Below are 20,365 nucleotides of genomic sequence, written 5' to 3'. Positions count from 1 at the left end.
GGGTTTGCATTTTTTTAACATTTTACACAGTTCCTGGCACACAGATACTCTTTTATTTTTTGAATTAATTACCTGCTCTCCTAGAAGAAACTCCTTCCCTTTGGTTACACATCATATATATGTGTGTGTGAGAGTGTGTGTGCTGTGTGTATACATATAGGTGTGTGTGTATATATATATATTACATATATACAGGTTATACGTATAACAAGGGGTCTAAATTTACATATAATTCTAAGCCAATTGGCCTATGCCTTAGAGTGGCAAAAATATTGCCTTTTAGTATGAGTGCATGGTCTTCGTTAAGTTTTAAACACGTATGCATGTTCTTTATATTTCTCTTGTTCTTAAGAAACAAGACAAAAGCTGGAGAAAATGAACATCCAATATGTGAAATACAATTATATTCTATAATTAGTGTTAATACATTTTTATAAGAAAATATATATCCTGCAAAATCAACTTTTTTTTTTTTTTTGAGACGGAGTCTCGCTCTGTCGCCCAGGCTGGAGTGCAGTGGCGGGATCTCGGCTCACTGCAAGCTCCGCCTCCCGGGTTCACGCCATTCTCCTGCCTCAGCCTCCCAAGTAGCTGGGACTACAGGCGCCCGCCACCACGCCCGGCTAATTTTTTGTATTTTTAGTAGAGACGGGGTTTCACCGTTTTAGCCGGGATGGTCTCGATCTCCTGACCTCGTGATCCGCCCGCCTCGGCCTCCCAAAGTGCTGGGATTACAGGCGTGAGCCACCGCACCCGGCCAAAATCAACTTTTTTTAAAAAAATTATTAACCCACGAAAATAATATTTAAGTCCCCAGAAGTGGGTATGATTTGAGGTTGTTTCCAGGTGCTGGGTTTCAAGAGAGTAGGAATCATCTAATCTAGTGCTGTACAATCATTCCTGAAGAAAAGTAACAGTTATTGCTTAGAAATAATTCTTAATCATAAACAAAAAGTAAAATAATAAATTGGTTGGATTTTTTCAACCTTAGGAATTTGCAGCGTCTTCACTGCCTCAACAGGCGTGTACCTTTCCATGCGGGGGATGTAATTTGCAGCAATCCCCAAATGGAGAAGAGTCTTCACTGCCTCAACAGGCGTGTACCTTTCCATGCGGGGGATGTAATTTCCAGCAATCCCCAAATGGAGAAGAGTCTTCACTGCCTCAACAGGCATGTACCTTTCCATGCAGGGGATGTAATTTCCAGCAATGCCCAAATGGAGAAGAGTCTTCACTGCCTCAACAGGCGTGTACCTTTCCATGCGGGGGATGTAATTTGCAGCAATGCCCAAATGGAGAAGACAATGTCATTCTTTATGTTGAGAATACCCCATAGGGCTGGTGTTCAAAGAGAATGCTTTCCAACACTCTCACGTGAACAAATCTAATCCCTTTATTGATAAGGTAAATAAGGCCCAGAGAGGCATTTTTCAAATGTCTAAAGTCACATCATTAGAATTGGAGAACATACAAATTGGCTTCCTTCTGTTTTGTGATCCCTTCACTACAGCAAATAGTACAAAATATCTATTTAGCAATCGCTACCTGTATGTACGTATTTATATTATATTTATATATTTATCATTATAATGTATTATTTTCTTTAGGACAGGCAACAATCCGAACAATATGGCCATAACAATAATCTTACTGCAATAAAAATATATATATAGTAGTATAATATTTTTGACCTTCTGCCTTGATTCGCAAGTCCACAATATAGTTTGAGGGACAGAATTATCTTTAGTAACTTGCATAGTTACTGCTTTTAAGAATAGATTTCTAAGGCAAGATAAAGGTAATGAGCAGAAACTGAATTTGGGGGAAAGACAAGAGTAAATTTTGATTGTATAAACAATATTTAGCACTATCACCTAAGCTCCAAGTCTGCCACTAAAGTTCGTCTTTCAGGGGAAGAATACGGTTATTTCTCTGGCGAGTCCATATTGGATATTCTAGAGAAAACATGAGCACAAAAGTCACTATTGTGAGCTCCCCAATTAGAGCTGCGCAGGGCTCTGTTCATCATGCTAACTTTAATGGAAGTTCCACCCAGGACGTCACGATGCTGAAAGCCTATTCGCACCTCTGGACGGGTGGCATCATGCAGTACCATGGCCTGCGAGGCTTGCTGTGATTATGACATGTCATTTTTACCTAACAGGATACAGTCATACACTGCATTTCATTTAACTCCACGTGGACTCAGCCTCGGCAGAGGGGCATGAATTTTCTGAGACAATAGCCCACCAAGATGTGGCCTCAGAGCCCTTGAAGGAATGATGTGTGAAAGATCACACTACCTGCTCAGATTATGGAAGACTCTGTTTCCAATGAGGTTCCAAACTTTCGATGAAAATCTCACTTTCTATTTCAGAGATTCTCACTTGATTCCTAAAAACAAAAGCCCTTAGCTGTGAAATAATACTGTGTTTAGCATTGTTAAATAAATCATGTGCATAATTGGTAAAATGATCTATAAAAGTCAAATCGATGTATTCTAATGCTTAAGATAGTGAGATAGAAACTTTAATCCTGGGTGGAGTTGTTTCCGGACTATTTAAAGTCAGGAGGGAAACTATGAAACAAAACGCACAAGTCTCTTTCTCTGAATGTTCAGGATTCCATGACAGTGCTCTAAAAGGGCATTGCAAAGTTGCAGAACACCCGAGGTCGATGACTCTCCTCTGCCTTGCCTCTGACCCACGCCAGAGAAAGAGAAACTTTAGGCCGAACTTAAAATGTGTAAGAAGGCAGCTTCAGGCTAAACTTAACAGGTGGAAACTGACAGTTCAATATGACCTGGAAATACTCTTTTTTTTTTTTTTTTTTTTTTTTTTGAGATGGAGTCTTGCTCTGTCACCCAGGCTGGAGTGCAGTGACATGATCTTGGCTCACTGCAACCTCCGCCTGCCAGGTTCAAGCAATTCTCCTACCTCAGCCTCCCGAGTAGCTGCGATTACAGGCGCATGCCACCATGCCTGGCTAATTTTTATATTTTTAGTAGAGATGGGGTTTCACCATGTTGGCCAGGCTGGCCTGAGTGATCTGCCTGTCTCGGCTTCCCAAAGTGCTAGGATTACAGACGTGAGCCATCGCGCCCTGCCAGAAATACTCTTTCCTGACCTTCTTAGACATGGGAGTCTATGTGCAGGAGGACAGGTCCCGCCGGGCTGCAGGGTCGTCAGCTGGGAGATGGCTAGGAACGCAGATGCTCAGGCGTCCCCTTCCACCTCACCTGGCCTGAGCTGCCCTGTAACAAGCTGTCCAGCTGAGGCAGGGACACATCGGAGTTAGAGAGGCCTTGATCTCAGGAGGTCAAGAAACAAAGCAAACCAACTAAATGACGAAGACTATTTTGTGGAAGAAACATTATTTAAAAAAAAAGTCAAACCATAAGGATCAACAATTAAATGGACGTGATTGTTAATATATCTTTCTCATGAAACTAAATGAAAACAAACAACCCACAAACCCTAGAAATGTCTGTTAACATCATTTCTCCTCTGAACACATCTATTTCAAAACTGAGTCTTCCCCCGGATCTCCGTGTTAGATCAGCTGACAAGCTGCCATCGCGGATGACTGTCTGATGACTGTGCTTTTGTTGCTGACTCAGAGTGTGCTGATTACTGCACCAGCCTTCTCACGGAGTCCTCACAATGCCATGACGGTGAATGTTACGTCTCCGCTTAACACAAAAGCAAACCAAATGGCAGGAAGGAAAAATAAGTTGCAAAGTCACACATCTGAAATGTAGCGCAGGAGGCTTCCAAACAAAGGTTAACTGATTCCAAAACGTTTCTTTATACCTCTCCTGTCTGCGACAGGAGGGAGGCCCAGTTTCCTAGAGAGGGACCTAGCAGTCCTCATTGAGGCTATGGCTCAGGAATGCGTTCCCCAGATAAGATCAGGATGGAGCCCTCACCAGCCCGGTGTGGCCCAGCAGTCAGTAGGATCCAGTTGGTTTCTTTTATATCTTATAACTGCAATCCCTTTTATATGTTAAACTCCCTCTAACAAAGCAAATGGTAACAGATGGTTCATTTTTTAACACAAATTCCGTTGAAAGATAAGGCAAAGAGAAGAAACCCAATTTACTGATCTGATTTGCAGATTAAAGTAACTGTCGTTGGCTGGATTTAACCTTTTAAGACCATTCGTCTCATAAAAACTGCACGCCAGAAATAAAGAGCATCTTCAAACGGAAAACTTCCAAGCATTTTCCTTGTTATAAATTCACTTTTCAATGAGTTTTTCTAAAAGATCGTATCTGCTTGAAGGCTTCCCTTCTTTCGCTAAAGGAATGAAAAAGTTAACATCGCTAAAGAGAGGCTAAGGTTATGAACAAGGTTAATTCAGTTCAGTCTGGCTTTGAATGATTTATTATTGTCCACACTTTCTTTCAATGAATTTTTTTTAAAAAGGAAATTTACTAGGGATTTCAACTGCAAAAAAAAATATCTCTTTATAGTTTCCCTACACATTTGATTTGGATTTTTCTTTTTTGGAGGACGGGGTGGGTGGACAATTGTTTGTTTGTTTGTTTGTTTGTTTTTTCAAATAAATGATTGACCTGCTGGTGATTGAGTGTGGTGACTCACACCTGTAATCCCAGCACTTTGGGAGGCTAAGGCGGGTGGATCACAAGGTCAGGAGATAGAGAACATCCTGGCTAACACAGTGAAACCCCGTCTCTACTAAAAGTACAAAAAATTAGGCACGGTGGCAGGTGCCTGTAGTCCCAGTTACTGTGGAGGCTGAGGCAGGAGAATGGTGTGAACCTGGGAGGCGGAGCTTGCAGTGAGCCGAGATCGTGCCACTGCACTCCAGCCTGGACAACAGAGCGAGACTCTGTCTCAAAATAAAATAAAATAAAATTAATTAAATTAAAAAATGACTGACCTAAGGGAGATCCCCATCTAACTTGTTTCAGGGAATAATTTTACCAAACTAACACCCCCTGCTCTACCACAAACACACAGCAAGTAAAGAAACTATATAAATCATGGATGTTGAGATCTTTGTATTTGTTTTTACAGCTGTTAGCTTAAACTTTGTGCTAGCCTTCCTTTAACCCTCCCTCCACATCTAATCCTTCAAGATTGGTTTGCTGTTCCACAAAACATAGCTTTACCATTTTACCTTGCTCAATACACACCCCAGACAAAGAGACAAACCTAGCCAGGCAGCAGGGCTGCCATAGCCTCAGAGTTGACAACATTCTGCCCCATTTTTTGATTATGTAATTGGGTTAGCAATAGTACAATTCCATAAGATTCTTGTAAGGAATGAATGACTTAATGCTTCCAAACCAACTGAAGCAGGAACTTGAGCTTAGAGAACTCTAAATATGATTTGGCTTTTGTTGTCATTTTGATGGCTTGGTTCTGAGTGACCCTCCACCCCACCACTTGCCTTTCTCCCGTTTCCTATCCCATACAGTGCTCGTGAATCTTCAGCACAGCCATTTGTTTTGAGTATTCAAACACATAAAAAGATATCTGGCAACTTCCCACTTCTTATGACTTCTCAGACACCTTGTAACGGAGCTTCCCTTGGAGGTGGACAAACTTCTCACTCACAAGGTATAGGACTAAATACCCTCTTGTTAGGTGGCTTTTTTTTGTCTCATCATCAGATGTAAAGAGGCATCTATTATCCCAGCCAATTTTCTTTATGTCAAATGTGAAAATAAACTTTTCTTATTTAAAAAACGCATGTGTTTATTTTCTATTCCTATGTCTTCCCAAGAGAATCTGAGCTCCTGGGGCTTGGGGCCAGGATGCACTGGACCAGGCTCAAGTTTACTCTCTCAAACAGAAAGAGCTGACTGATTTGCAGGAATTTTGTGAAACAGTTGTTAAGCACAATCATCATTAAAAATTATATCACAAAAATTAGCCGGGCGTGGTGGCATGCGCCTGTAATCCCAGCTACTCTGGAGGCAGAGGTAGGAGAAACACTTGAACCCGGGAGGCGGAGGTTGCAGTGAGCCGAGAACGCACCATGGCAGTCCAGCCTGGGCAACAAGAGTGAAACTGCGTCTCAAAAAAAAAAAAAAAAAAAAAAAAAGAAAGACAGAAAAAGAAAAAGAAAAAAAATTATATAAATGAAAAACTACATAAACTATATGAAAAACAAATAAAACAAGTACTCAGAATTCATGTCTTCCTGATTACGTTGCTATCATCGATGTGTTTGAGCCCATTGATGCCGACGGCATCTGTCGGATGGAAGGAAGCACCGTGCAAGGCTCTTCCTTCTGCACAGCCTCTTCCCAGTTTTGCGGTCAGTGAAGTCACGTGCATGGCTTGACCCTGGCCATGGCGTGAAGATCAACAGCACGGAAATGACAGAAATCAGCAAATACCACAGTCAGGGCTTTATTGTTTTGTTGTTTGACTAGAATTAGAAGAGTCATGAAAAAATGTTAAATAGATTTAAAATATGTCACGTTTATAGTGTGTACATTGTGAAAAATATTTAAAAAATGGAAGCAATGTTTTTCCAGTGTTCAAACATCATTAGCTTTAATCAGGGTTCTGCAGAGAGACGGAGAGCAACAGAGAGAGATGGGCAGGGATTGATTCGAGGATTGGCTGACTCGATTATGGAGGGTGAGAAGTCCCAGGACAGGCCGTCTGCAAGGCGTAAACCCAGGGAAGCTGCTGGTATGGCTCGGTTCAAGTCCAAAGGCCTCAGCACCAAGGAAACCAAGGTGATAACTCTCAGTTCGGGTCAAAGTCCTGGGAGTCTGCAAGGCCTCTCATGTAAGTTCTGAATTCCAAAGGTCACAGGACTTGAAGTTCCGATGCCCGAGGGCTGCCCTTACTCCAGAAGAGAGAACAATTTTCTGTCCCTCTACTCTTTTTGTTTCATCTGGACCCCAGCTGATTGGATGGTGCCTTTTCACACGGAGGGTGGGTCTTCCCTTCTCAGCCCACCCACTCACAGGCCAGTCTCTTCTGGAAACATCTGCAGACAAACAGACCTAGGGCAACCCAACCATTCTAACCAAATGCCAAACCACCTGGGCTCCCACTCAGCAGAAGGAGGATGGGCTCAGTAATTACTGAACCACTGAGATGAGCTCTACCAGCCATCTGAGTACCTCTTAATCCCATCAAAACCAGCCATCACATCATGCAGAATGAACGATCTGAGTACCCCTTAATCCCATCAAAACCAGCCACCACATCCTGCAGAATGAACGATCTGAGTACCCCTTAATCCCATCAAAACCAGCCACCGCATCCTGCAGAATGAACGATCTGAGTACCCCTTAATCCCATCAAAACCAGCCACCACATCCTGCAGAATGAACGATCTGAGTACCCCTTAATCCCATCAAAACCAGCCACCACATCCTGCAGAATGAACGATCTGAGTACCCCTTAATCCCATCAAAACCAGCCACCACATCCTGCAGAATGAACGATCTGAGTACCCCTTAATCTACTCAAAACCAGCCACGACATCCTGTAGAATGAAGACGGGTTATGTCATTGACAAAGTTGTATTGTAAGTCATCATTCCTTCCCTTCCCTTCCCTCCTTCTTTCCTTCCTTCCTCCCTCCCTCCCTCCCTCCCTCCCTGTTTCTTTCTCTTTCTTTCTTTTCTCTCTTTCTTTCTCTTTCCTTTCTTCCTTCCTTTTTCTTTCTTTGTTTCTTTATTTCCCTCTTTCTTTCTCTCTTTCTTTCTTTCTCTCCCTCTCCTTCCTTCCTTCCTTTTTTCTTTCTTTCTCTTTTTCTCTCTTTCTCTTTCTTTCGTCTGTCTTTCTTTCGATGGAGTCTCACTCTGTTGCCCAGGCTGGAATGCAGTCACACAATCTCGGCTCACTGCAACCTCCGCCTCTTGGGTCCAAGTGATCCTTCCACCTCAGCCTCCTGAGTACCTGGGACTACAGGCACACGCCACCACACCTTGCTAATTTTTTTGTATTTTTAGTTAGTGATGGGGTTTCACCATGTTGGCCAGGCTGGTGTCAAACTCCTGACCTCAAGTCATCTGCCCACCTCGGCCTCCCAAAGTGCTGGGATTATAGGCATGAGCCACCGTGCCCAGCCACAGTTCTATTTTATTCTTTAACATACCTGACAGTATCAGTCAGCATTGCATAGAAATTACAATCCTATATGCCTTTGCCAACTGCAACCCCAGGTTGACTACAGATGCACAATTTTGGAAAAAAATCAATGGAAATGTTATTTAGCCATACATTTTCTCTGAGAGAGCCAGTTGTTAAACATTTACCAGCACATATAGGGTAGGAATATTGTCTGGCTTTTCACCAGTCTGCTTTTTGTCTAAAGAAGTCCTGGATACACTGGTTCAGTGTAATTAATGTTTGTTCCATACATGATTGGAATTTGTAATATAAGTTGGATGAATCAAAGACATTTTAACCAAATTTATCTATTAAAGTTGCTCAAGGAACATGACATTCTAATTACTAACTGATCTATCATTTCCAAATTTCCTTTCTGGAAAACTCAACTGTCTATATCTCAAATATTTTAAAACTCACCTTCTTTAGGTAAACTTTAAAAAAAAATGTGTTTTACCCTATATAATGACACAGTCTCTTTAAATTATATGTACCATGGCCTAAATATTGAGTCATTATATATTTTCCCTGAAACTATGTGCCAAGATTTTTACTTTATCTTTATCTAGCAGACAATAAAAAGTTTATTTATATTGAAAAAAATATTTTTTCCCTAAATTTACAGCTATATACACATTGATTTCACGTTTCCAAATTGTGTGGGGTTCTTTTCTCTCCACTCTAAGATTCTACTTTCTACCTAGAGGAACATATTAGTGTCAAGAACTGCAAGCTCACAAGACAAGTTATCTTGTCATAGTTTCATGGGTGCTGGGAGGAGACACGAAACTCTTGGTCAGAGACAAGAACACTGTGTTATTCAGAGCAATTAAACTTAGTGGAGTATCCACGGTTTAGTGTGGTTTCCCTGAGCCCCAATTCCTGCAGAGAGACAGAAAATGAACCAGATCACACCTGTACCCACAGAAGTTTGCATTGCAGGAGAGAAATCCTGAACTTAGAAAACTCGAATCATTTATAACGGGCAGTGAGCATGCCTGCCTTTTGCTCCTGAGCAAGACACTATCTTTATTATACTGGACATTAAGTGTATCTGAAGGAAGATACTCTCTCTGTCTTCTAAGCACGTTTATGACACGAACATGATTGAAAAGATAACCCAGAATTATGAGCTATCCGTACCTCACAGGTGCAGACTACAAGAAACCCATGGAGAATTATATCCCAGTAACTTGTGGGACAGTAAACAACAGAAATATGCTTGAAACAAGCTAAAACAAAAATGGAACTTATTGGCTTCACGATGCAGACTTTGTTTGGTCAAGGACATTGCATGATAATCTCAGTGCCCATCTTCCTCTCTCTCTCTGTGTTTCTCTTCTTTCTTTCTCTTCATTTCTGGATTCTCTTAATTTGTGTGTGTTGAACTTACTCTCTCTGGAATCACATCAATTTTCACCTTGTAGCCAAAGAGAGATGGATCTAGATCCATGTCATCCTGGGTCAGGATCTCGGAGGAAATAGTTTTCTTTTCCCCAGTGTCTATATATTAATTTCAGATATATGGCCCTGCCTGGAGTACGTGCCCAATGTCAGAGCCATGATGTAACCATGAGGTACGTTATTATGATTGGCCAGACCTAGCCCATGCTATTCCCTTTGTCTCTTCCGTAGGGATCTAATTCAAAAAACAGAAAAGTGGCTGGGCATGGTGACTCACACCTGTAATCCCAGCACTCTGGGAGGCCTAGGCAGGCAGATCACCTCAGGTCAGAATTTTGAGACCAGGCTTGACAATATGGTGAAACCCCCATCTCTACTATACAAAAATTATCCAGCCATGGTGGTATGTACCTGTAATCCCAGCTACCTGGGAAGCTGAGGCAGGAGAATCACTTGAAGCTGGGAGGCGGAGGTTGCAGTGAGCTGAGATTGAGCCACTGCATTCCAGCCTGGGTGACAGCAAGACTCCGTCTCAAAAATAAAATAAAGTAAAATAAAAATAAAAAACAACAACAGTAAACAGAAAAAAAATGTGAGAAAAAATTCTGTATGCCACAGTCCACTGCAAACAAGGTTTCTTCTCACTGAAACTCAGCAGTTTGTTAAGAGCTACCATAAGTAGATACAATATATTTTTGGAATAAGCATAAGAAATATGCTGGATGTTGGAAAAAAACGATAAATAGATATGCACACGAACTCCTCTTGCTTTAAAAAAAGACAGCCAATTTTTCCTGTTTTCCAACATAATGCAATGTTTTAAATAAAGATTATTCCATAAATCTGCTGCATCTCATTTCTTTCCTTGGTGGTTTTAAAGTCTTACCGTTCAATGTCTTACGTTTCCTTTCTTTAAATACTTTTTATTTCCAGCATTTGGGCATGCTTTGATATTTTTACTGCCTTTGTTATTTACATTTAGGTATTCAACTAGCTAGAGCTGGCTTTCAGCAGGAGTCTGGAACGAGTTTCTACCAAGAGCCTTTGTGAGCTTAGATACTAAGTATTGAGATTGTCTTTTATACGGGAGGGGCTATGATTCATTAATTTTCTTGTCTTCCCTCTCTTATATCTGCCCCCTCCTCAAAAACACACTAACACACATATTCACAAACATATAGACACACACACAAATCTACCCACTTGCATATACTCAACACTCATCTTGATTTACCTACAGAGAAGCTGTTCACTCTTTCAGCTGATGATTTTTCTTTCTAATCTGTGGGGGTAAAATCATCCTTATCAGCCGGGTGCAGTGGCTCACGCCTGTAATCCCAGCACTTTGGGAGGCCAAGGCGGGCGGATCACCTGAGGTCAGGAGTTTGAGACGAGCCTGGCCAAAATGGTGAAACTCCGTCTCTACTAAAAGTACAAAAATTAGCCGGGCTTGGTGGCGGGCACCTGTAATCCTAGCTACTCAAGAGGCTGAGGCAGGAGAATCACTGGAACCTGGGAGGCACAGGTTGTAGTGAGCTGCCGAGATCGCGCCACTGCACTCCAGCCTGGGCTACAAGAGCTATACTCTGTTTCAAAAAAAAAAAAATCATCCTTATCATCTACATCCCTTTTACATTAACTGTATGTCCCAGTGATCTCCATTATGTCTATTCATAACACAATCCAAGATTTCATTCTGCAATTAATATTGAATCTGTTGTGTTGGGCTGACTCATGTATGAATAGTCACGTATATTGTAAATTACACGGAAACCTACCGAGTAGAAAGATCTCATATTGAACCTCATTTACATGGAGATCAGTTATCAGAGATTACAGAAAAGAGCCGCTGGCCAGGTAGGTGTTCAAACCATGCTAATTTCCTCCCTCCTTTGGGTTTAAGCTGGCAAAAAACACTTGTCCACATAGACTGCAGATATCCTGCCCTCACCATCAGTATCAACAACCTATCATGACTTTCTTCTTGGTCCACTTAACCCAACCTGTTCCTACTCAAGTCCTCAACTCCATTTGGAGTTTGTCAATATTGAAGATTCCATTTGTTTCCTTGATATGGTTCAGCTGTGTCCCCACCCAAATCTCATCTTGAATAATAGCTCCCATAATTCCCATGTGCTGTGGGAGGGACCTGGTGGGAGGAAATGAATCATAGGGGTGAGTCTTTCTTGTGCTGTTTTTGTGGTAGTGAGTAAGTCTCACAAGATCCGATGGTTTTATAAAGGGCAGTTCCCCTGCACAAGCTCTCTTCTCTGCCACCACGCGTTTGCTGTTCATTCACCTTTCACCATGATTGTGAGGCCTCCCAGCCATGTGGAACTGTGAGTCCATTAAACCTCTTTCCTTTATAAATTACCCAGTCTCGGGTATGTCTTTATTAGCAGCCTGAGAACAGTCTAATACAGTCCTCTAAAGCAAATTCCTACTGAACACACTATAGATCAAAGGCACTGTTAATGTTTAAAATATTGTCTCATTAGCCTACCTCCTATTTATGAACTTTAACTTGCTATTTTCTTGCTGTTGGATTAAAATGATTTACAATATATATCTTTTTTTAACTTCCAATCTCAAAGCCTTTAAAGTAATTGCTTTCTCTGCTGCTAATTTTGGCATCCGTATGTGATTATAAATGGTTGGCAGGAAGAGGGTGCAGCCCCCTGCAGTCAAGAGGCAGAGACATGTGCTTGAAGCTTCTCAACAAGGTATTGATTTCCACTAATGCATTTTTATCCATTTTTTTTTGTTCAGCAGAATACAATGATAAACACATAGATCTTTTTTTATGCAGACAGTTGAGTACTGCGGTGCGCACACACACAAACACACACACACACACACAGAGTGCTGGAATCTTGAATCAAACAAGTATTGGAAGTCTGTTTTCTAACCAGACCCCATTCAGCAAGAGTTTGTTTTCAAAACGCTTGTGCATTTAGCAAAATTGGTTCCATACTCTATACTACCACAAAAATTGCTTAGAAAAAATATGTTTGATATTATTTATGTAATTGTAAAATATATATTGGTCTGGGAATAGAAAAAAAAATCTGAAGACAAATTTCCAGTAAAATTGGAAAAGGCTGGGAGGGAGTCCCTCCCTGCTCAGTAACAATCTTGCCTCTGACAGTACCGGGGCATGTGCCTTCAGTGTCTCCTACTTTATCGGTAAAGCAGGGGTAGTGGTGGATAGCACAGCCTCCTGCATCATGAGGCCTAGACGTGACACATATAACACACGTGGCTTGGAATGTGTTCACAAGGGTTACATAGTAACTGAACAACTGGTGTGTAACTATTTGTTTAATTATCTGCTCCCTGCCCCATAGAATGTGATTCATCATGGCCAGGCTGCACCTGCCCGACTCACTGCTGCGTCTCTGTCTTCTGGCCAGGCTCCATGCACATTTGTCGAATTTGTTGTATTTAAACACTGGAATAAAATTATATTTCAAAGCCATGTTTAAAATTTCACATAAAATGGATTAAAGCTTAAATTTGTATACACACATACATACAAAGCTGCAGTGTGTATTTGTAAAATTGGTTAGTTCCTAAACCATTCAGTTAATCACAGGCACCATTTTCTGAATAAAATTAATTCCTCCTTCCCTTTGCAAGCTTGGCACTAAACGGATGCTAGAACTAACTGAAGTAATGTGCTGGCTTAAAGACATGAAGAAAAGACAACCAGAAGGGTGAACTGTTCACACAGCCTTTGAAAATTTACTGCTCTGATTTTAAATTTATACTAAATTTTGGTGGTTTTCCAGTTTGCTTTCCAATTTTCTCTTTTCTACTTAAAATCATAGGTGCAGACTGAAAGCTTACAACTGTTACATTAAATCCAGATGGATTGGTTTCTTTGCAATAATCGTAACTCGTCTCTTCCTCCCACGTTTTTAATATTAAGAAGGTGTCTATACAAATGCCCTTAGCCACATTTATGGTGGTTTCTGAAGAGGAAAAGTGTTCCATGAAAGATGCTGGCCCAGAGTTATCAACTGGAAATCAGTCCAAGAAAAGATAGTTTTCTGTGTTAATAATTTTTTCTCAGTGCGATTGAATTCTTGCAATGGTTACACACAGATGACTTTGATTGATTTGAAACATTCTCTCCTCTTCTTCCCCTCCTCCTCCAACTCCTTCTCCTTTCATCCTTTCTTGGATTCTTGTGAGAGCCTTCTTCTGGGACAATTCCCATTCTAGTTCCAGCCTCAGCACACCTGTCTGGTATTAGGCTGTGATTGTTCTCATCATTGAAAAAATAGGGAAACTGAGTTATCAAAGATCTTATTGGTTGAATTGCTCTGAATATCAGACTGCCTAGCCCAACACAGGTAAAAGAGAGTATCTTATGTAATAACAGAGTCAGGTTTCTGATGATAAAATGAAGCCACAATTTCATTAATATACAAAATGATAATGAGTGAGTAACCAAAAGCCCTCCAAAGCTTACATCCTAGAGTCCCAAAATCCCAGATGCCAGGACTGGGCATGGCATGTTCTTTCGTTCCTTATAAACAGGTGATAGGATAAAAAGTGAGCACAGAGAGGACTAGGACACCCTGTCCAGGCTCAAACTAGGTCCGTGATCAGGTGAGTGTTATTCCAACTGCCCTTAAGGAAAATCAGATTCTTCTCAGAGATCACGGTTAGTGCTAGTCATTTATTCTCCTCTCTCTCCTGGATCAGAGCCACGGTCTGTGGCTGAGCACATGACTGTGTGAACTAGGATTCTTTTGCCAAAGTCAGTTGCAGTGGAGAGGAGCTGCAGGGCCACTTTCTGAACAGTCTGTATGTGCATGAAAATGGTTTCCACTGTGTCGCAAGAAGCAGGAATGGACCCTTTGTCCCTTATTTCTAACTGACAGCTGCAAAGAGGATGTTCAAAGGGCATCTTGGACCAGGAGGAGGAAGCCCATTGTGAGGATGGCAAAGAACAATAAATGGAAGGCCCGTGGAACCCTGAGCGGCTGCCCCATCACTGTCCTCTCCATCCTTTCCATGCTTCCCATGGTGCATGGCTCTCAGGCTCTCCAAGCACCATGAGCTCCTGGCGCGTATGGCCTGGCCCCTGAGTGTGGAGTCTGTGGACTTTAAATGTGCCTTTACTCAGCCAGCATCTCCCTGGCTGGGTGCGATGTTGCGTGGTGTGATTCCTGACTGCGATCCTGAGGGTGAAACTCTCTTCTGCTTGCTTCTGCCTTGGCCCTTGGGTCTTCTGTCCCACCTTTCCTGCCATCCCCTGGTGGTGACATTAGTGGATCCCATGTGAGAAAAGTGTCCATCAAGAAAGTCAGAGGAAGAAGAAGTCTTTTTTTTTTTTTTTTAGAGAGGGAGTCTCACTCTGTTGCCCAGGCTGGAGTGCAGTGGCACAATCTCGGCTCACTGCAACCTCCACCTCCGGGATCAAGCTATTCTCCTGCCTCAGTGTTCTGAGTAATCTGGGATTACAGGCATGTACCACCATGCGTAGCTAATTTTTATATTTTTAGTAGAGACAGGGTTTCACCACATTGGCCAGGCTGTATTGAACTCCTGACCTCACGTGATCTTCCCGTCTCAGCCTTATAAAATGCTGGGATTAGAGGCGTGAGCCACTGTGCCTGGCCAAAGAAGAAATCTTAGAAACTGTTTAGTTCAGGTCTTTCCAAGAAACCTTGTGTGGGTTTTACAACTGTGTCCCAAGAGCAACTACAGAGTGAAGGGGAGAGAGACGTGGAGAACAGGCCTCCAGCATCCAGCCAAGGGGAGTGGCAGGCACACTGGGATTTGGTGTATATGTTGGGCTTTGGGAAATGTGTTATTTCTTTTTCTTTTCTGAAGAAAGCCTTCCATAGTCCAAAAGTCTCAAAACCACCAAAATCTATTCATTTCATTTTACAAATGAGGAAAATGGGTCTGGGAGAGGTTGACAGGCTCTCAAAATCACAATGGTAGAACATGGCAGGGCCAGATCCAGGTACCTCATCTATTGATTTTGGGGGCTTCGTCCCACAAGGCCAACATCCTACCACATGTTCATCTGAATGAAACCCTCCCAGGCCAAAGAGAATATATGAGCTATGGCTCTAGAAAGACAGCACCATAAAGCCTGCCGTAGCCTGGAGAAGAAAATCATAGAAATGGACTTCCCGTCACTTTCATCTACTGTGACCTACACCAACTGTGAAAATAACATGAAGAGGAGAGCCATAGTTTTTGTTCAGTCACACACTCACGATGTATGCACATGTTTCTGGAACACAACCAAAATGTCAAAATGCCGTTGAGAATTGCACCTCACTAACTAACGTGGGCTTTGAAATTTTAGAAATTACTTATGCCAGGCAGTGGTTAGTAATGCTAGAATGTTCGCTAGGTTGGTCGAGTTCTAACAATCTCCCAACAGCAAATATTAACTTCATTAATTTAGCTCATTTGATGTAATTACTATTGGTTTTTAGTGTAAGGCATAATCTCAAATCAATAGAAACTTCATCGGTTTTGCTCGAACGCGGGACCCTCCTTTATGACCACGATTACCTTTGGTGATGGAATTTATGATTCAGATACAAAGACCCTCTAACAAATTTGACTAAAGTGCTTTGGTCCTGAAATGTCATCAGTGTATGAAAATCGTTATCCTGTTTTTATTTCTCCTGAAAGTATAATAATTATTACTCTGGTAAATATTAATTATATAATACAAATATTATCTTTGCAAATGTGAAAAATAAATGCATAATTGACCCTGCCCCTGCCTACTGTGTTGAGGATTGCACTCTATTCTCAGCATTACTCTTGACGTCATATAAAGGATAAAGTTACGGAATGTCAATCAGAGACGGTTTGCAAGGCTGTGTCGCTCCAGGACTCATTCCTCCTCCACCTTGTATTTCCTCAGCTCCCAGAAGTTGTATTTTCTTTCTTTCTTTTTTTTTTAGACAGAGTCTCACTCTGTCTTCCAGGCTGGAGTGCAGTGGCATGATGTCGGCTCACTGCAACGTCCGCCTCCTGGGTTCAAGTGATTCTTCTGCTTCAGCCTCCTGAGTAGCTGGGACTACAGGCACTCATCACCACACCTGGCTAATTTTTGTATTTTTAGTAGAGACGGGGTTTCACCATGTTGGTCAGGCTGGTCTCGAACTCCTGACCTCGTGATTCCCCCCACCTCGGCCTCCCAAAGTGCTGGGATTACAGGCATGAGCCACCAAACCCAGCCCAGAAGTTGTATTTTATGTGGCATAACAAAGCTATCACATGAAGGAAAGGGACACAAAAATATGTGACTATGGTGTAAAAGAAAATGAGTTACACTGTAACAGGATGAGCACTGGTGTCCCCGATCCCAGTGGTTATGACACGGGACCCCTGACCAGGCTTCTGCTTCCCTTCGTATGGTGGCCAGGATTTTCCAGCATCGGGCACGACCTGAGAGAGCTGAGGGACATGAAGAGGAGATCCGCCTCGTCCCTTAGGGCAGGGCATGCACACTTCATACTATTTGTTTCTTGGGTCAGAAGTAAAAAAGAAGAGGAGGCAACTAAGTTAGAATCCAAGTCATTGTTTCCAAGAAATTTTGAACCTAGAGCAATTTATTGATGTGGCTTGGCCTCGTTAACACAGACCCCCAGCTACCAGCTAAGGATTGCCTAGCATTCGGAGGCATCCCTTACAGAAGCAAGACTTTCGTCAAACGTTTCTGACAGAAGTCTTGTATTCTGAATATTTAAATAATTTCTACCAATCAATAAGAAAAAGATTTGAAAAATATAAAAAATGGACAAAACATCAGACCAGATAATTCAAAGAAGAATATAATATCCAAGTGTCCAGCAAGCATTGAAAGGAGCTCAACAGCGTTACTTACAAAGGACGTGCACTTTAATGTCAGAATGCATTATCTTTACAGATCCGTGAGAACGGCTACACTTGGAACAAGCTATCCAACCAAAGCAAAGTTGTCGATACAAAGAATTGAAAAGTGTGGAGGATCTGCAGCTCTGATAGTTTGCAGATAAGGGCAGAAGCTGGTGTGCCCGAGCCCTTTAGGCGGTAGGCATTACGTTGAAAGTGGGTTTATCCAATGTTCCAGAGACTCTCTTCCTGTGTGCATGCAGCAGAAAGAACTGTAAAAGTCTGCAAAGGACACGTATAAGAAGGCTCACAGAGGCTTCAATCCCTAATGCCGTAGCAAAGGAAAAAAACAATGAAATAAAATTTCCCCATCAAAAGGAGAATAAAAATAAAGTGGTTTATTCATAAACAATGGAACATTATAAATAAGAAAGATTAAACCATGGATGGACACAATTCTAAGACATCATGCTGATCAAAAGAAGCCATCCATGAATGAGCAACAATTGTATAAAGCCATTTGTATGAGGTCAGGAGCAGGCAAAATCCATCTGCTGAGAGTTAGAGGTCGAAATAGTGGTTAACTCCTATGGAGACTAGAGTCAGTGACTGGAAGAAACGAAATCAAGAGGGAGCTTGAGAGTGCTGGACATGTTCTGTATTTTGATTCATGTGGTGTTTTCACAGCTGTGTATGTGTGCTCAAATTTATCCAAGCTGCACGATTTACAGAAGTACGCTTCATATATTTTACTGTGTTATTCCCTAGTTAAAACTATTAAAAGAAACAAATCTGCATCATTTCATCTGGTGACATTTTGAACAAGATATTCTTGTGACCCACACACTTTTGTGCCTATAAAATTGTTGGGTTCCTTTGTATTTTGTGAATTACTTTTGAGATAACCGCATTAACAATCTCTCATCCTTAAATGAGATTTTGATGCCTATGTAGCTTCTAACAAGTGTGTGCTAGTGGTAGATAGGAATTTTTTTTCATTTTTTAGCTCTAATGACCTGCCTGCATGGAACTGTAGCCTCCCTTCCAGGTTCAGAGCTCTGTCTCCTTTCTATTGTGTTGAGTCTGTCATTCCAGGGCCAAATGCCTCCTGTGGGAGCCTGTGTCTGCTACATCCCTGATTCTGAGACTGGACCTTTGGAATGCCCATCAATGTCACCCACCCAGCTGATTAGACATCTGGGTACAAAGTCTGCTTCAGTGTTATCTCAGTCTTCTGATGCCATTAGCCAACTCTCATACACAGTTATGTATCCTTCTTGTCTTTGCTTAAGCTTCACTGCTCACTTAGGAGTGATGCCTCCATTTTTAGTTCTGTTTTCCCAGGGACAGTTGGGACTTCATGCCTGAATTAGCTGAAGGTCTGATAGTCACTGTATTACCCAACATGCATTTATGTAGTAACTAATAGGATAAAGGAAGACATTCAAAAAATTAAACATGGGTCTCCCCTGTCAATTTTGACAGATGATGGATCAAATCACTTTCCTCAGAACAAAATTTAAATGCAGACGAAGCATGTAAGAAATATTTAGTGTCTATGTTATATGTTATTAATTCCCTGATAGCAATATCATAAAAAAGTTTTTGGTCACAACTTTAATACTAAAAATAAATGTACAATAAGCTATTCAGGATCCTAAAATAATAGTTTATGCTGGGCCATTTTTCATCTTGAGATTGCTCACGCATTTTAGATTCCATTATTATTTACTTCATTTATTTTTATGAGGTATTTTAGCTTGTCAGATTAATGTTGATATTTGCCCTTTGAAATTTAGTGCACTACTCATGAACTTTGTGTGCATAAAGCACTGTTTGTCACTTTTCAGCTTTGACGTTGAGTGGAGAATAAAGAAATTCGTGAAATGAAGTTGTAAAAACTTGTTTTTGATAGAGTCTCTTGATTTCTATGATACATGATTTTTAGAATTTTGAAAGAAGTTTTACGCCCTGTTCAATAAGAGATAAGAATGTACTTGAGGTAGTACGGTGTGCATACATGAAGGAGGCGATGAGCAATGCTGCAGGTGCTAGCAGAACGAATAGCACAGATAATTAGGACCATGAGTTGACATGCTGCACACATAACACCACTGGGGTGTCGGAAAAGGATTCTGAGAAATAGTAATCATTTCTATGGTTTTAGGTAGAAGGAAAAGCAAGGAATACATTCCAGGTGGGAGGAGCTTACATTTTGGTGATCATGGGCTTACAATAGGAACGGGTCGTGATTTTGAAAACAAAAAGCGCAGTTTGGTTGGATAAGAGACAATTAGTGGTGATGGAAAAAGTGATATATTTGGAAAGGCAGATTAAAACTAGATTATAAAAATTGCTAAAAACCGAGAAGTTTCTCATTTAGAAAATGGAAAATCACATTTATTTATTTATTTATTAAGAAGTCAACATTATGAAAATATTCTCATGTTAGGGTAACTCTCTTTCTGACTTTACAAGACATTAAATATACACCCAAGAGCAATTATAATGAAAAGACAGAAAAATTAAGCTGGAAGCCTTCATATTATTTAGTGGCTTTTGAAATAATCTGCACTTGAGGTGATGAGGGGCCAGCTAAGATAGTGATATCGAAATGAAAAGAAGAGTTGGGCTTCAAAGACACTTGGAAAGGAAGTTTGATAGGATTTGGAAACCCTCTACATAAGACATGGGGTGGGGTGAGAGGAAGAATTACAGTTTCAGCTGGACACTAGAGGAAATGAAGATAAATAGAAAGAAGAAAACACCAATTTGGGAAAGAGGAAAGTAGCAAGTGTCTATAAGAGCTAATTAATTTATAAAGTACATCCATGTTTAATAATTTAGCACAAATATATACGTATATACATTATATACGTGTGTGTATATCGATATATACATATATAAGCTCTTTGCTATCTATCAATAGATATATGTATCTATATCTATTGATGTAGATACATATAGATATATGTATCTATATCTATTGAT

The 20,365-nt window shown here is 41.1% G+C and overlaps 1 long non-coding RNA gene across 5 annotated transcripts in view, besides 3 other annotated features; it reads right to left on the bottom strand.

Annotated features, from left to right (window-relative positions):
* LOC105377785 (uncharacterized) overlaps positions 1 to 20,365 on the bottom strand; it is a 297,276-nt gene that overhangs the window by 134,507 nt on the left and 142,404 nt on the right. The gene's annotated exons all lie outside the window — the stretch shown is intronic.
* Positions 2,654 to 3,436: an enhancer, noted in NCBI's record as "H3K27ac-H3K4me1 hESC enhancer chr8:2743811-2744593 (GRCh37/hg19 assembly coordinates)". NCBI's record gives its function as "activates a minimal SCP1, AML or CMV promoter by ChIP-STARR-seq in naive H9 embryonic stem cells {active_cell/tissue: H9 hESC(naive)}" and the evidence as "EXISTENCE:reporter gene assay evidence [ECO:0000049][PMID:30033119]".
* Positions 3,744 to 4,038: a silencer, noted in NCBI's record as "tiled region #746; K562 Repressive non-DNase unmatched - State 5:Enh". NCBI's record gives its function as "represses a minimal TATA promoter and a strong SV40 promoter by Sharpr-MPRA in K562 cells {active_cell/tissue: K562}" and the evidence as "EXISTENCE:reporter gene assay evidence [ECO:0000049][PMID:27701403]".
* Positions 11,281 to 12,480: an enhancer, noted in NCBI's record as "CDK7 strongly-dependent group 2 enhancer chr8:2734767-2735966 (GRCh37/hg19 assembly coordinates)". NCBI's record gives its function as "activates an origin of replication core promoter dependent on BRD2, BRD4, P300/CBP, MED14 and CDK7 cofactors, with strong dependence on CDK7, by STARR-seq in HCT116 cells {active_cell/tissue: HCT116}" and the evidence as "EXISTENCE:reporter gene assay evidence [ECO:0000049][PMID:35650434]".

This window comes from Homo sapiens, chromosome 8 (genome assembly GCF_000001405.40).
Source record: "Homo sapiens chromosome 8, GRCh38.p14 Primary Assembly".
In the NCBI taxonomy this organism is placed as follows: Eukaryota; Metazoa; Chordata; class Mammalia; order Primates; family Hominidae; genus Homo; species Homo sapiens.
This window is presented reverse-complemented; position numbering and strand designations above follow the sequence as displayed.